Source organism: Homo sapiens, chromosome 8, assembly GCF_000001405.40.
Source record: "Homo sapiens chromosome 8, GRCh38.p14 Primary Assembly".
Classification (NCBI taxonomy): Eukaryota; Metazoa; Chordata; class Mammalia; order Primates; family Hominidae; genus Homo; species Homo sapiens.
Window position 1 is genome coordinate 14,550,348 of NC_000008.11, and position 16,629 is coordinate 14,566,976.

At 34.4% G+C, this 16,629-nt stretch overlaps 1 protein-coding gene across 4 annotated transcripts in view, besides 1 other annotated feature; it reads right to left on the reverse strand.

The window, feature by feature from the left end:
* Positions 1-16,629, reverse strand: part of SGCZ (sarcoglycan zeta) — a 1,153,587-nt gene that overhangs the window by 465,503 nt on the left and 671,455 nt on the right. For 3 of the 4 annotated variants that reach the window (NM_001322879.2, NM_001322880.2, NM_139167.4), the window contains exon 2: positions 4,385-4,579. In NM_001322879.2, the coding sequence (NP_001309808.1) occupies positions 4,385-4,579 (195 nt within the window). The remainder of the gene's footprint in view (positions 1-4,384; positions 4,580-16,629) is intronic. The other variant, NM_001322881.2, reaches the window with a different exon arrangement.
* Positions 14,936-15,437: an enhancer, noted in NCBI's record as "NANOG hESC enhancer chr8:14422792-14423293 (GRCh37/hg19 assembly coordinates)". NCBI's record gives its function as "activates a minimal SCP1, AML or CMV promoter by ChIP-STARR-seq in naive H9 embryonic stem cells {active_cell/tissue: H9 hESC(naive)}" and the evidence as "EXISTENCE:reporter gene assay evidence [ECO:0000049][PMID:30033119]".

A 16,629-nucleotide genomic window follows, 5' to 3' on the forward strand; every position in this document is an offset into this window, starting at 1 on the left:
ATATAAATATTTATTTTATATAAAATTTATATTTATGCATTAAATAAGCATATAAATAAAAGCAGGAAAAGTATTCAGGATTGTGGTTATCTACATGGAGTTACAAGATATTGGTAAAGTTTGCTTTTTCTTTTGTAGGATGAAATATTTCATAATAAATAGTTTAAAGTGTCAGTGATGACAGCTGGCTGTACTACTGCTATGTGTGGGGTCTAAATGCAGGATCCGCTGGGAATTATGAACCTTGGTGTTCAGAACCCAAAACTGTTTTTTCCAACTTAATAAATACCATTGCGTAGATCACAGGAGCATCTCCTGTGCTTATGAGGTCTTAACCAGCAATAGGAGACCTGGGATTGCTGGTAACCTTGCCATCAATTCTTCCCAACTCAAGATGGCCCTTTAGAAGGACATACATCATATTGCCATAAAAAATTACCTGCCTTTCAGGGTTTAAGCAGATGCCAAGTGACCAAATGGAGAAAATATCGTAAAATGATCTCTTGTAATGTACAGATAGTTGTTCTAAAATTTCCCAATTCCCTTTCAATCCAAAAACGACAATGATACTCAATTATTTTCTTGGGATTTTTCTTTCAGCCAACTTTCTTCCCAATGATCACGCAAGACTTCTTTCCCCAATTTGTTTAATTAATCAATTGCTTCAATTATTACCCAGGTCTGGGTATTCTTGACTTCTCTTTAACTCACAGCATTAATGAATTTGCTCTCCCCATTTGCTTAATAAATATTATTTATATTGTAATTCTTTTTTTTTTTTTTGCTGGCTAGTTAGCATATCTATCAGCTAGAGGCCACCAAACCTTAGTTGGTACTTTTGTTCTTAAAATCAGTACTTTATTATTGTAACAATCTTCAATTATCAAATATAGAAAGAATTTATTTAGAATGAGTGTTGACGCTAGAAAAGAATACTGCCTCAGTAGAATGCCTGGATTTGAGAGACCTGCTAGACTAGTCTATTAACTAAACCACAAAGATGTTATAGTAATCAACCAAATAGCAATTGATAACATGGAAATGGGTTGTACTGACCTCAACAAATTGATGATTCAAATTTTCCTCTTCAACTATTTCATATATATATTATATATATTATATATATTATATATTATATATATTATATATATTATATATATTATATATATTATATATAATATATATAATATATATAATATATATAATATATATTATATATATAATATATATATAATATATATAATATATATTATATATATTATATATATACATAAAATATATATATTATATATATATAAAATATATATATGAAAGTATGTATGTATGTATCTGCTCTCATAGCCAGGAAATTATTTATTTCTATCCTAAGTCTTTCATCCTGTAATATAAAGTCATTTCCTTTTTTGGTTTTCTACAACTGGGTATCTCAATAAGTAGAATAATTTTATTTTCTAAAAAATGAAAAACACAAATTATTTCCAAAAACACAAGGGCATATCAATCATATACATCATGCAGAATATCGCTCATAATGATGGACTTCCACAAACATCATAAAACATGTTGGCAGCTATCCTTGCTATGCTAAAAATACAATATTTTGATAAAAATAACATGCCCAGTTTGCTCAAATAAAAGATGTTAACAGCCACAGATTTCCCTGTGTTGGATACAATAGTTATAATGAAAGTGAAATACATTTTGTGTAGATCAATAGTACTCCCCAAACAACTGACGCATGATTTTCTACTTCTTACTATAGTGTGGCAACTAGTCTTTGGTATTCTCTGTAGATATGAAAAGGAACATAATGCACTAGTAAAAACATAACATTGGTTTTATTTTACTGCTCTGATGGAAGACGATTACAAATTATTTCACACCCTTCAAGTATATACAACATAATCTCTAGTATTCAGGATTGCTGAAGTCTGCAACTACATAAGGAATTCTGAATTTTTTCTGAACAACTATAAGTGACTACATTGAGCTAGAGAGTGTGTTACCTTACAAAGAGTGTGTCACCTTACAGTGTGATACATTCCTGAAAACTTCATCTGTGCATTTTACTTCAGCTACATGCAAATAGTTTTCGTGGGTGAAGGAAGGACAGTTTTCCTTCTGATTATAAAAAGGTCAAAACATAATTTTTTAAAAGACATGCTTCAAAGGAAAACGTAAAAAAATAAATAAATAAATACCAACACTCCTATGGAAACAACCCCCTTTTAATTATCCCCAGGACCATGTTGCATTATAATTTACATTCTGGCCAGCTGAGGTTCAAATTAAAGAGCTCCATGGGTGACAGGAACCCTGAGGCCCATGAGGATCCTGAGGACACAGGTGACTGTGTCAATGATTTAACAGGGATGGCTTATCCAGCCTTGGTGTCAGCATGGGGCAAAGTATTGGGAGTCTGATGCATGTAGCCATGTAATTACGCATTTAAGTATATTTTCCTAATTAATTTAAATATGCTTGAAAAGCTCACAAGGCTTGAACCTGAAAATTCCTGGGGTTTAGTCATTGGAAGGAATCAATGCTCCCTGAAGTGAGAGAGCTTGTCGCATCATTCATGAGCTTTTGAAAGATGCCTTTGATAGAGAAAATCATATTACTGAAATTTCAAAATTTGGAGAATATGCTTTACCTCTTTTATAATATTAATTTTAGTTAAAAAATGAGGCTGAAAATGTTTTCAGCAACTGATAGTCTGGTTGCTATTTAAAGCAGGACAAAAGAATGTGCAGGAGCATAAACATTGCTCCTACCATACGATAAATGACTCCTGAAGGACACCCAGACAGTAGTCAGAGAAGGCAGGAGCAGAGCTGAGAACAGAAATATGATGGCTAGAGTTGTTGATATTTGTGTCAAAATATTCCCAAATGAGAGGGTAAAGTGAGCCAACTCTTAGACAAAGAAGTGATTCAGATGCATTCCCAGAGAATCTCATAAGGGAGAATGTACCTACAAGCCTTCAACTCAACCTCTAGCCACCCTCACATGGCCTCATGCCTTGATCCCTGACCTGGGACGCATATCCATGTCTAGGCAACAGTTATTATTTTCTAACTCTGTGAAAATATTGACTCCTGGCCAACTTTTCTTTGCCTTCAGTTTCTTATTTGATGAATACTTTACAAAATTATAATTTATTGGAAAAAAAATGGAACCGTGGCTCATTTCCCTCCATGAGCACATGCTGTTTTATCTTGATATGCAAGGTGACAGTGTCTCCTCTCTGGAAGGTTAAGCCACCTGCCCGCACAGGCTCCTTGCTCACATAATTGTGGTGCCTTACAACATGGACGGCAGCTAGGGTCATTTTCCCTTTTGATATTGTGTTTCCGAGTTAGAATTAAGAGTTAGTGAAGTCAGAAAGAGACGATTCTTGCTAAACCAATACCCAGTGGGGTTTAAAAAACAAACAAACAAACTTAAACAGCCCAGTATAGGAATATCAGTGAAGTTAAACAGCCAGCTTTAGACTCACTCCTGAGGATGCAGAGTTCTAAAGAATAATAGCAGTCTGGTCAGCAGTGAAAGATACTTGCTTGTATGTGGAGATATCTGAGGTCCCCAAGGAAAAGCAGAATGGTTTAAAAGCAGAGTAGAGAAACTGAAGGCATCAGCCAGAAAATATAAAGTGAGCTAAACTGGACTTTGCTGAAGCCACAAAATTTTCCCAGATAAGTCATGCTCATAGATTTATTATAAACATTCAGTAAACTGCAGCAAACTTCATTAATACATTATACAATCATTTTGTAATTAGTTACTTTTATAAAAGAGTGATTTAATTGCTGGTTTATCTTCCATTTACGAGGGATGTGCTATGAAAGAATGGGATCACCATCTGATGGCAATTATAGGCATTAGTCAATGTACTTCAGGAGAAATTCCAGGCTTTCAGATTCAGTCATGCAGTGTGTTACATAGAAAGCAGATATAGAGATATATAAAGGTATATATGTTATATGAAGTAATTCAAAGGCACATATGATTTATAAAAGTAATATTAATTTTAATGTGAAGTATCACTTCTAAAAGCAGGCTAATTTCTTAGATTTTAAGACACAGTAAGTAATAGTTCATACTTACTGGTTAAATGTTCTTGAAATGTTCTAATGAATCAATGTGCTGTACTGTCTCGTGATCTAAATTTCCCACACTTAAATGGCAGGTAGTAATAGCATACGTGTGTCAGGACTGAACCTACTGAATGTATTCTTAAAATAAAATATTATTTTCTTTGGGATTTAAAAACACACACTTGTAAATATTGATATGAATAACTTTTGATTAAAAAATTAAAGTAACAGAGCTAGATTGTCTCTGAACCAAGAGCAATAAGATGTAAAATCATAGTGGTACTTACCACAGTGAAATTCATAACTTTCAATATCCATATTGTCATGGCTAAGTTAACTATCATGGTAACCAACAGCAGAAGGACAAAGAAGTATAAGCACCTCTTTCGCCATCCATAAATTCCCACTGGGTAAAGTTGTGCATTCTCAGTCCTTGGCAGGTTATTCTGTTGGGTTGCTAGTATGTATTGTTCTCGTGTCATCTGAAAAAGAAAAAAGAAAGAAAGAGAAAGAAGGAAAAAAAAAGAAGCATTAAAAAAAATAAACCCATGATTTTTTTGAAACAAAAGAACAATGTACGTTAAAATAATTGGCAGTGAGCATTCAAATAACTATTGTTGTGTAATTAAAATGTTATAGAAAACTTCGAATCATTTTGTTCAATATAGTTTTTTAGAGATGTTTAATTCATTGTTATATCCACAATATATATATTATTTCCAGTCAGATTTGTCCCATTTCAACAGTAAGTTTTTCCCTTGGGAGGCTCAGGTCTACCTCCAGTTACCGGTAACTAAAGAACTCTACTCATGTCCAAGTGATACAGTTTGGATCTATGTCCCCACCAAAATCTCATCTTGAATTGTACTCTCCAATGTTGGAGATGGCTCCTGGCGAAAGGTGATGAGATCATGGCAGTGAATTTCCCCCTTTGGTGCTGTTCTGGTAATAGAGTTCTCATGGGACGTGGTTAAGTGGGTGGCACCTCCCCACTCCCTCTTGGACCTGCTCCTGCCATATAAGACGTGTCTGTTTCCCCTTTGCCTTCCACCATGATTGTAAGTTTCCTGAGGCCTCCCCAGAAGCAAAAGCCTCTATGCTTCCTGTACAGCCTGTAGAACTAGGAGCCAATTAAACCTCTTTTCTTTGTCAATTACCCCGTCTCAAATATTTTTTTATACCAGAGCAAGAATAGATGAATACACCAAGCTACACTTAGACTATGATTTACCTGTTCTTTGCAGTAGAGAGAGACTGAGTCTACCACAAGGATTTTCTGTACCTTTCTCTAAAAATGCAGGATACAAATGGTTCAGTATATATGCTTCAGTAAAAATATTAGTGTATTTGCAAGAACCTATGAAAGAAAATTCACATTTGTGCAGATTTATGTAGACAATAGCTATCAAATTAAGTTTTATTCAGAATTATGTTGGTTATTTTAGTTGTATTTCAATGAGTTATCAGAAAAAAATATTTAACTCTAAGAACACTATATATTATACCATACTATTTCATAATGTAATGAAATTAGAAGTCAGTTCTGAAAAACTAAAGATGATATTCTTTGATAATGCATACATTCAGGTTCTAGAATTAATTCTTTCAATAAGCAAATGCATTTTTTACTGTCTTATACAACTTAGAAATATGGATAAGAAGAGTAAAACAATATGAATAAGCACTGAATATGTCTTAAGTGTACAATTTTCAGAATAACATATTTATTACCAGAAGGATGGAAACTGATTTTTATAAAATATAATTTTCTATAAGACAATAATTGTTCATTATTATCTCTTCAGTTTTTTCTCAGATTGCTTTTATACTTATTAAATGACGAATCTAACATAAATACTTCTGAATAAATTATACACAAATAAAAATAATATTAATAAGTAATTAAATTATATGTTAAGTAATATAAAATATATGTACTATACAATTATCATTGTAATGTTCATTGACTCAATCCTACTGTAGATAAAATGTTGAGAATTTTTTTTTCCATAGGTTTTTGGGAAACAGGTGATATTTGGTTACATGAGTAAGTTCTTTAGTGGTGATTTGTGAGATTTTTATGCATCCATCACCTCAGCAGTCTATAATGAACCCAATTTGTAGCCTTTTCTCGTTCACTCACTTCTCACCATTTCCCCCTGAGTGCCCAAAGTCCATTGTGTCATTCTTATTCCTTTGTATCCTCACAGCTTAGCTCCCACTTATGAGTGAGAACATGGAATGTTTGGTTTTCCATTCCTAAGTTACTTTTACTTCACTTAGAATAATAGTCTCCAATCCCATCCAGGTTGCTGCAAATGCCATTAATTCCTTCCTTTTTATGGCTGAGTAGTATTCCACTGTACATATATATACCACAGCTTATTGACTGATGGGCATTTGGGCTGGTTCCATATTTTTGTAATTGTGAATTGTGCTGCTATAAACATGAAAGTGAAGTATTTTTTTTGTATAATGACTTCTTTTACTCTGGGTAGGTACTCAGTAGTGGGATTGCTAGATCAAATGGTAGTTCTACATTTAATTATTTCAGGAATCTCCCCACTATTTTCCATAATGTTTGTACTAGTTTACATTCCTACCAGTGGTGTAGAAGTATTCCTTTTTCACTGCATCTACACCAATGCCTATTACTTTTTGATTTTTTGATTATGGCCATTTTTGAGGTAGTAAGGTGGTATTGCATTGTGGTTTTTATATGCATTTCCATGATCATTTGTGATGTTAAGCATTTTTTCATGTGTTTATTGGTCATTTGTATATCTTTTTTTTGAGAACTGTCTATTTATGTCCTTACCCACTTTTTGATGGGGATTTTTTTTTTGCTACTTTGTTTGAGTTCCTAGTAGATTTTGGATAGTAGTCTTTTGTTGAATGTATAGATTGTGAAGATTTTCTCCCACCCTGTGGGTTGTCTGTTTACCTTTCTGAGTGTTCCTTTTGTAATGCAAAAGCTCTTCAATTTAAGTCCTAGCTATTTATCTTTGTTCTTATTGCATTTGCTTTTGGGCTCTTAGTCATGAAATCCTTGCTTAAGTTAATATCTGGAAGGATTTTTCCAATGTTATCTTCTAGAATTTTTATAATTTCAGGTTTTAGATTTAAGTCCTTGATCCATCTTGAGTTGATTTTTGTATAAGGTGGGAGATGAGGATCCAGTTTCATTATCCTACACATGGCTTGCCAATTACCCCCACACCATTTGTTGAATAGGGTGTCCTTTCCCTACTTCGTGTTTTTGTTTGCTTTGTTAAACACAAATAGAGAATCTCAGGTCACACCTCAAGGAACTAGAGAAACAAGAAAAACCAAACCCAAACCCAGCAGAAGAAAGAAAATAACCAAGATCAGAGCAGAAGTAAATGAAATTGAAACAAACAAACAAAAATACAACAGATAAATGAAACACAAAGCTGGTTCTTTGAAAAGATAAATAAAATTGATAGGCCATTAGCAAGATTAACCAAGAAAAGAATAGCGAAGCTCCAAATAAGCACAATTAGAAATGAAATGGGAGACAATACACCTGACATCACAGAAATACAGAAGATCATTTAAGGCTACTATGAACATTTTAAGTGCATAGACTACAAAACCTAGAGGACATGGCTCAATTCCCAAAAAGATACAACCTTCCTAGTTTAATTCAGGAAGCATTAGAAACACTGAACAGACCAATAACAAGCAGTGAGATTGAAACTGTAATAAAAAATTACCAACAAAAAGAGTCCAGGACCAGTTGGATTCACAGCTGAATTCTACCAGATATTCAAAGAAGAATTGGTATCAATCCTGTTGACACTATTCCAAAAGATAGAGTAAGAGGGAGCTGGGCACAGTGGTTCACACCTGTAATCTCAGTACTTTTGGAAGCCAAGGCAGGTGGATCACTTGAGGTCAGGAGTTTAAGACCAGCCTGGCCAACATGGGAAAATCCCATCTCTACCAAAAATATAAAAATTAGCTGGGTGTGGTGGTGGGTGCCTATAATCTTAGCTACTTGGGAGGCTAAGGCAGAAGAATTGCTTGAACCCGGAAGGCAGAGGTTGCAGTGAGCAGAGATGGTGCCACTGCACTTCAGCCTGGGTGACAGAATGAGAATGACTCTTAGAGAGAGAGAGAGAGAGAGAGAGAGAGAGAGAGAGAGAATCTTCCATAAATAATTATATGATGCCAGTATCACCCTAATACCAAAACCAGGAAAGGACATAACAATGACAACAAAAAACTACGGACCAATATCCCTCATAAACATAGATGTTAAAATCCTTAACAAAATACTAGCTAACCAAATCCAATAGTATATCAAAAAGATAATTCACCATGATCAAGTGGGTTTCATACCAGGAATGCAGTGATATGCAAGTCAATAAAAAATATGATACACCACATAAATAGAATCAGAAACAAAAATCACATAATCATCCCAATAGAGGCAAAAAACACATCTGACAAAATTAGCATCCCTTTATGATTAAAACCCTCAACAAAACTGGCACAGAAGGGACATACCTCAATGTAATAAAAGCCATCTATGACAAACCCTCAGTCAACATAACAGTGAATGCGGAAAAGTTGAAAGCATTCTCTCTGAGAACTGGAACAAGATAAGGATGTCCCCTCTCACCACTCCTCTTCAACATAGTACTAGAAGTCCTAGTCAGAGCAATCAGACAAGAAAAAGAAATAAAGGGCATCCAAATTGGTAAAGAGAAAGTCAAACTGTCACTGTTTGCTGATGATATGATTGTATACCTAGAAAACCCTAAAGACCCCTCCAAAAAGCTCCTAGAACTGATGAATGAATTCAGCAAAGTTTTAGGATACAAAACTAATGTACACAAATCAGTAGTTCTGCTATACACCAACAGTGACCAAGCTGAGAATCAAATCAAGAACTCGACCCCTTTTACCATAGAGCAAAAAATAAAATAAAATACTTAGAAATATACCTAACCAATGAGGTTAAAGACCTTTACAAGAAAAACTACAAAACACTACCGAAAGAAATTATAGATGACACAAACAAATGGAAACACATCCCATGCTCATGGATGGGTAGAATCAATATTGTGAAAACGACCATACTTCCCAAAGCAATCTACAAATTCAATGTTGAGAAATTTTTATAAAAATTATTTGGTTTTCCATCTTTTTGTTTTAATTTCAAAATTACTGTAATTTCAAACTGCATTAATGTCCTGTTAAATCTTATGTTTCCATTTTTTACCATTGAGGCATGTTATGCTTCATACAATAAAAATAATTGGATAAGCTATTAAAATATCATAATTTTAAATGAATTGGAAACGCTGATAACGGTAGATAATTCATAGCAAGTTCTCTCAGAATGTAAAAAATCCTATTTATTATCATTATTATTTAAGTTAACATGTACTATTTCCTTAAAACTGACCATAAAGCTTTATTTCTTAATTAAACTCTGATTTGGCGTAGATGTGAAACCCATTATGTTATGTAACATAAGTGTTATAACAGATGATAAGTTGCCAAGGAATTGACTTTGCCTGAGGAATTTGGTAGAAATTTCAAGGTTCTGACAGTGGTTTTGATAATATAGTAGAGAAAACATAAAAAGAGAATAGTATGAAGAGAATTTGGTTAAGGTGTACAAAATACAGTTCGATAGAAGGGATGAGTTCTAGCATTTCAGCAGAACAGTAGGGAAATTATAGTTAACAATAATTTATTGCACATTTCAAAAGAGCTAGGAGAGAAGACTTGTAATGTTCCCAACACAGATAAAAGATAAATGTTTGAGGTTATGAATAACCTAATTGTCCTGATTTGATCATCCAACTTTGTATACAGATATCAAAATACTACATCTACCCCAAAATATATACAACATATATATATATGTATAAATTTTTAAAAAGCAGAATTTTAAAAATGAAGATTAAAGGAGCTCTGGGGATGATCACATTTAATGGGAAGAACAAGGAGGAGCGGAGAAGGGGAAGAATGTGGATGTAGGAGGAGCATAGGAGAAAGCTGAAGACTGAATGTTCCTCACTGGCAAGTAGGAGACCTTCCCCTTGTAGAGTTGGTCTCTGAAAATTCCAAGTTAAGTGCTATGACTCTTCAGATCATCGAATCCCCTTTATCTCATATTAAAGCAAACTTATTTTCTAGAATGTTCTATTTCTACAAATTATATTTCAATATGAAGGTGAAATTACTGTGCATTAGAAATGAAAACTTACTAAATCTATGAAATAAAACATACACAACTACAAAGAAAATTGTCTTTCAGCAATAAGATTGAAATTTTTTTTGGTAAAGCAACAGAGATTTGGTAACTATATCAAATGCCTCTAACAATTTTGACAAGCAAATGAGATAACAAGAGGCTAAAAGAAAAGTTGTGAAAAAAACAAAACACAAAAAAAAGTTATGAAATTAAAGCTATGTTTATCTCCTCAAGAAATTCAATATTATTTTCTTTAATAAAGCTTAGTTTAACATTATTATTTTATAAATTGTCTTCATCACAAAATACTTTAGAGCATCTACGCTGCAGTAAGAAAAGGTTAGACTTTTCTTTTAAAAGTTCCTTTTTTTGTTGTTAAATCTGAGTGTTTTTCAAGATCACAAAAGCTTTCAGTGGCTGTTTTAGTGCAATAGTAGTATTAGCAGAAGAATAAAAACATATAATTCTAAGTGATTATGCAAACTATCCTCCATTTGAAACTTTACAACTTTAGCTTTAAATGTTTAATATTGCCATTTTTAAGCATTAACTATATTCTGAAATACATTGTTTTCTTTGGCATTATGAAACTTCTATAAATAAAAGTATTTTTTACTAACTGCCTATTGTCATTCTAATGGAATCTACCAAACAATGCTGCAATTGCAGAGGTACTGATTTTCTCAGAACAGTTAAGTGGATTTCAGAGAGTTGATCACAATTTTCTGAGAGACAATATCATAGTACCAAGATGTTTCTCTGGCTTCATAATATTGCTGTACCTCCCTTTTGATGTTAATTCAATGCCCTCAAAATCTGTTTGTTACAATTATCTTGGTTTTCTTGGCTACTTACAGTAACTAGGACCCTTTTTATTTTAGTTTTGCCATTCTGTTTCATATCACATTTTATGTTTAAAAAGCATTCATTAGAATCAAATGACTTCTAAAATCTAATGTTTCTTAGCTAATACTAAGGAAGTTTTCAGCATTCTTGGGTCAAAATGAGTATCCGCATTGCTTATATTACTTTAAATGCATTTACTTGGATCCTCCTGCAATTCAGGGAAGAGCTGGTTTAAATTTGCACTTTGAAATTTCTCTACAAAGGAATACACTTTCCAACGCAGTATTTTATCTAATAATGTAAATAACATTTCTGGCAAGATGTTATAAGGTTCAATGAAAGATGCCTGATCAAATAGAATTACATGTCAATTTTTGGACATTTTTCTCCCAAGGTGTGGAAAATCTGGTTTTCAGACAGGGTTAGTTTGCTGGTAAATTTAAAAACACAGCATGTAGACAACAGAAGGGAATGAATTAATTTGGAATCACCTAAACATGGTTCATCACTAATAATCGAGCCCTAGAGAATTCTGGTGACTTCTACTGATCTGGATGGTATGGGAGAAAAAATAACTAGGGTAGCAGAGACCATTTTTTACCTTAGTCCCTTGCCTCACGTAAGGGGAAAATAGTTCAAAATATTAGTGCCCAGGAAATTTACTAATAATTCCAAACTAGCTGGAATCATTACTTCAGTATTTTTATATAAGTATTCAGGACTGGGAATAGTAGTTGAGCCTCCGAGCAGAAGATTGTTTTCATTTAATAAAATATTTACGAGTGAAAACTATTGGAAGGTAGAGGTCAAGATTGATGCATTATGAATCTCACGTTTGACGAAAACACAATATGTGCATAGAAAAATAAATAACAACATTATCAAGTAGTAACATGATCTGAAGATGATAAATACAATAAAAAAGAAATACATTATATAAGCAATATAATGTTAATTAGTGATAGATATTACAAATATAATGGACATGGTAATATAATCGGGGACTACTTTTAAAATGGTAGAAAGAGAATATCTTTCAGAGCAAGTGACACCTGAGATGAGACTAAAATGAAGAAGAGACATAAAAGAAGTTTTTATTTGAAGGCCTAATTGGAGTGGGATAAACAGAAAATTTTAAAAATTAAGAAGTAGAGACAGCAAATGTAGACAATTTTTGAGAGATAAAGAAAATCCAATAAATAGAATTGTAGATGAGTGTCTGGGGGTCTTGTATTGCAGTATTAAACCCACGACCAATACCAACGTATACAAAAGATAATAGAAAACTGAAAACAAATGAGGAAAATGAATGTGAGATCAATAATTGAAGTGACGAAGCTGGGATCGAGAGAGAAGTCACGTGATCTTAGAGATGTGGTAGCAGAGGAACTAGAGACAATGTCAGCAAATCACCCAGTCAACTGGGCTACCCAAAGGAGGAGTAGTATAGACAGGTAATAATTATTATAATCCAAAGAGAATATTCCTTGACCTTATACACTATTATGCTGACATGGAGGACTCACATCAGCTTATGAAAAACTGAAGATAGCTGTGCTATGGCTGAAGTTTGCAGGAGTCTGGCTCCGGGACAAGTGGTACTGAGTGTCGCCTCCTCCACAGTGTGCTTCCTCAGAGCCTCATTACCCCAAGCTTGCTCTGTGTGGATTTCAGTGTCTGAGATTTAGGATACCTGCAAGTAAAAGTACAGTCTTCACCTTTTCTACTCCAAGAGTCTTTCCATTCCTTCAGTGAGGTTTTATTTTTATTTTCTAAAATGGAAGTGGAAGAAGGAGGGCATAAGAGAATATTATGAGATATGGCTTCTTTCTGGATAGACGGCAAAGGCTAAAATAAATGACTCCTGTTAATAGGTGTGAGTGGACAGAAAGAAAAAAGTCGTTAAGGAAATGTACAATGCCTAAGACAATTCGTTTAAGTTGTTGTTGGCTATATTAAGGGTCTAAATACAAACTATCAATAGAATGCCTTGTTTTATTTTCTGTAAGGCAGAAATATTGTCTGAAAGGATGAATAAATTATCCCACCTAAATGTGTGCCACAGGTTTGCTTCTTTATAACCCTGTAAGTGTAGGGATCTGAAAAATTTAAAACTGGCAATAAGAACTAAGTTTAGAGGTGAGATCTGGTACATAGCTTTTAAAAATCCAAGTTTCATCAAGAAGACAAAAAGAACTCTCGAGCTTTGTACAAAAGCTTGAGGAAGTAATAAAGTTAATTTAAGTCCAGCTGTTGAGAACCTATTATCTCTAGTCCAAATTTTATCACTAAGTAGTCAAAAGATAAAGTCAAAAACAGAATGCAATTGTATATTGAAAAATATAATTGATATAATTTTTTAAAAATATTACATTTAACAATTTATAATATTACTCACGTAAACCCTGAATATAATGAGGAGAGACATGCACAAATGTTGGAGGTAAACAGTAAATTATTTGCTCTTCTCACTCACTAATTTGATTCCTTAAAATTAAAATATAAATTGAGCCTCTAATTTCTGTTTAGACCTGTGTTCCCTGTTATGGGAAATATGAATATAAAAGAGAAGCATGTGAGTCCTGGATAGCAAGATAGATAATTTGAGAAATTGCTTTTAATTTCTGATGATGAAGCTAGCATTTGGCGTGCTGAAATAGCAACATGCAACATCCTTGTGACCATGCAAATTTAATCTGGATTCCAAAACCTCTTCAGTTCCTTACTGGGAGTGTTGATATTCCAGGAGAAGTGGTAAATCATGTTGCTGTCACTGTTCATTAGGTGTTGATCATATTTAGATTTAACGCTACAATATCAGTCATCTGTTGTTTATTCAGGCAAGGAATGCGACACAATAGTTTAAAATGCAGTCCTAGACTTACTGAGTTCAGATCCCAGCTTGTCCATTGCCTTCTGTGCGTCTTAGGGAAAGTCACTTAGCCTCTCTCTGTCCCAGTTTCCTCAAAGCTCAAATGCATATTACATTGACATATATAAAGGCAATCTGGGAGTAGAAAAGGAGGATGTTAAAGTACTCTTTTCATTTTAACTAGTAAAAGTACTCATTTTTAAAATGTATCGTCTACCCCTTAGCTAGTGATCCCCTACTTAAGTACTGTAGAAGTATTTTTATTGGAATTAACTTTTAAAGACATGGTTGAAATAGAATTTTTAAAACATAATGCTTGAAGGGTCCAAATTATGTGGTGTGAACTTTCCATACCAGAAAGGCATTTTGTTTTCTGCTCCAACAAAATGAGTCTCTAAACAGCTACTAATGTTGAGAGAGATTGAAACAATACAGTAAAGCCTACTTACCACGGCAATTTAAACTTCTCCCTATCTATGATACTTAATGCTCAAAGGGACATTTCAGCATAATGATAGTCAAAATTTGCTGTATAAGAAAAACGGCCATTTGGAGTGGATTTTTTTTTTCTACTTGGTTTATGGAAAATGCTGTAGTCAGGTTTTGCAGCACGGAAAAGAAGCAACCTAGCAACTGAATTTCAAGAATGATGAAAGATATCTGAGTCAAATGTGCTGCCTCTTGAGACAGGAAATAGATGATTCTAGCCAAGCCTGACAGAAAAGAGAAAACTGAATAGGCACTAAAAGGGAAACATTCCCAGATGAAAACAACTTTTATTTAAAATGTGGACATTTAAAAAATAATTTTTTTCAGTCATTCTTAGTTTTCTTTACATACCTCATACATCCTAAAATTAGACAGTTTTATGTGGGAAATAGTTATCCAGTATTTCATTGGATGAAAATGCAATGACTTTTTTTTTTTGACATTTATTTAGGCACAGGTTTACATTTGGGCTTTTAACTTTGAAATCATTTCATTCTCAGAGCTTTTCTGCTAATAAGAATAGAAATACTTAGCCATTAATGCAATTTTGAAGGAGCCCAAGGTAGTCTTTTTCCTGCTCAGAGGTTATCAACATGGAGAGATAAAACAACAAAGACAGTCCACGGGCACCATTTACACTAAAATTGCAAGCATGAGACACTCATTGGTGAGTCCTGCTGCATGTTCACAGCAGGGGAAGAAGGAAAAATCTTTAAGGAAAAACAAATTGGCCAGAAACGCAGCAGGAGAGCTTAACTGGGCAAGCAGAAAGCCCACACTACTTCAAACAGTAAGGATTAACAAGAAAACATATTTGAAAAACAATGGTAAGAAAACATATCCAGAAAGAGGAGGGGATATTGTCTTGTATTCTAACACCAAGCAGAACAAGGTAATGAGAAAAAAGATAATAGAGGATGGCTTCCATAACACTGATAATAAAGAGAAAGACACCAATGGTTATGAAAAATCTTGCAAACAATTTTCAAAATACCTTATTGGAACGTCATTTTTTTTTCCACTCTGACAAACTTCTTTACATTTTACCAGATTCATGTAAATTATTTATAGTGTAGTCAAATTTATTTTGATGTAAAATTTTCAAATGGATAATAAATCTATGGGAAATTCGTTCTGCTTTGGGTTATCTCACTTATGGAGATGAAAGGACAAATTCACAATGAATATGTTTTAATTTAAAATGAACTGCTTTAAACAAATGAAACAGAAGATCTTGCAGAGACCAACAAAGTCTAACTAAAATAAGTGTTTAATCAGAATATTATTATATGCTGACTATTTAGATAAAGAGAAAGCAGTTGGACTAATAATTTTATTTTTATTCTCTTGAATTATTTACATTTTAAAAGAGAAAAAAGATAAGCCCGAATATTGATATAACAAGGTAGAGGCAGACAGGAAATGGGAAGGAGTACAGCATTCAATGGCACAAACAAGGAAGTAAAAAGTGGCCGAATGGCCATCATAAGATGGGGCCAGTGTGGGTAGATCTCTCCATCCCTGCTGGGTCGATTCCCTACTGAGGCCAGACCCTGATTCTCTGCTCTCCACTGGCGGATCTCAGTAGAGACCATACAAGAGACAATGGACCCAAGAAAGGTGAAAGCTTTACTCATCATTACTTACAACTGAGGTACACCTATATCATGAGTACAATTTGCCTTTCCACCAAAGATGAAAAAGGAAAAGAGAAAATGACTGATGCTACCTTCTTCTTTTGTTTTACATGATAGTGAGAGGTGACAGCATGCTGGCAGCCCTCACAGCCCTCGCTCGCTCTCGGCACCTCCTCGGCCTTGGCGCCCACTCTGGCCGTACTTGAGGAGCCCTTCAGCCCGCCGCTGCACTGTGGGAGCCCCTTTCTGGGCTGGCCAAGGCCGGAGCTGGCTCCCTCAGCTTGCGGGGAGGTGTGGAGGGAGAGGCACAGGCAGGAACCGGGGCTGCACACGGTGCTTGCGGGCCAGTGCGAGTTCCAGGTGGGCGGCTGTGGGCTCGGCAGGCCCCACACTCAGAGCGGCCGGCTGGCCCCGCCAGCTGGCCCCACCGGCCCCGGGCAGTGAAGGGCTTAG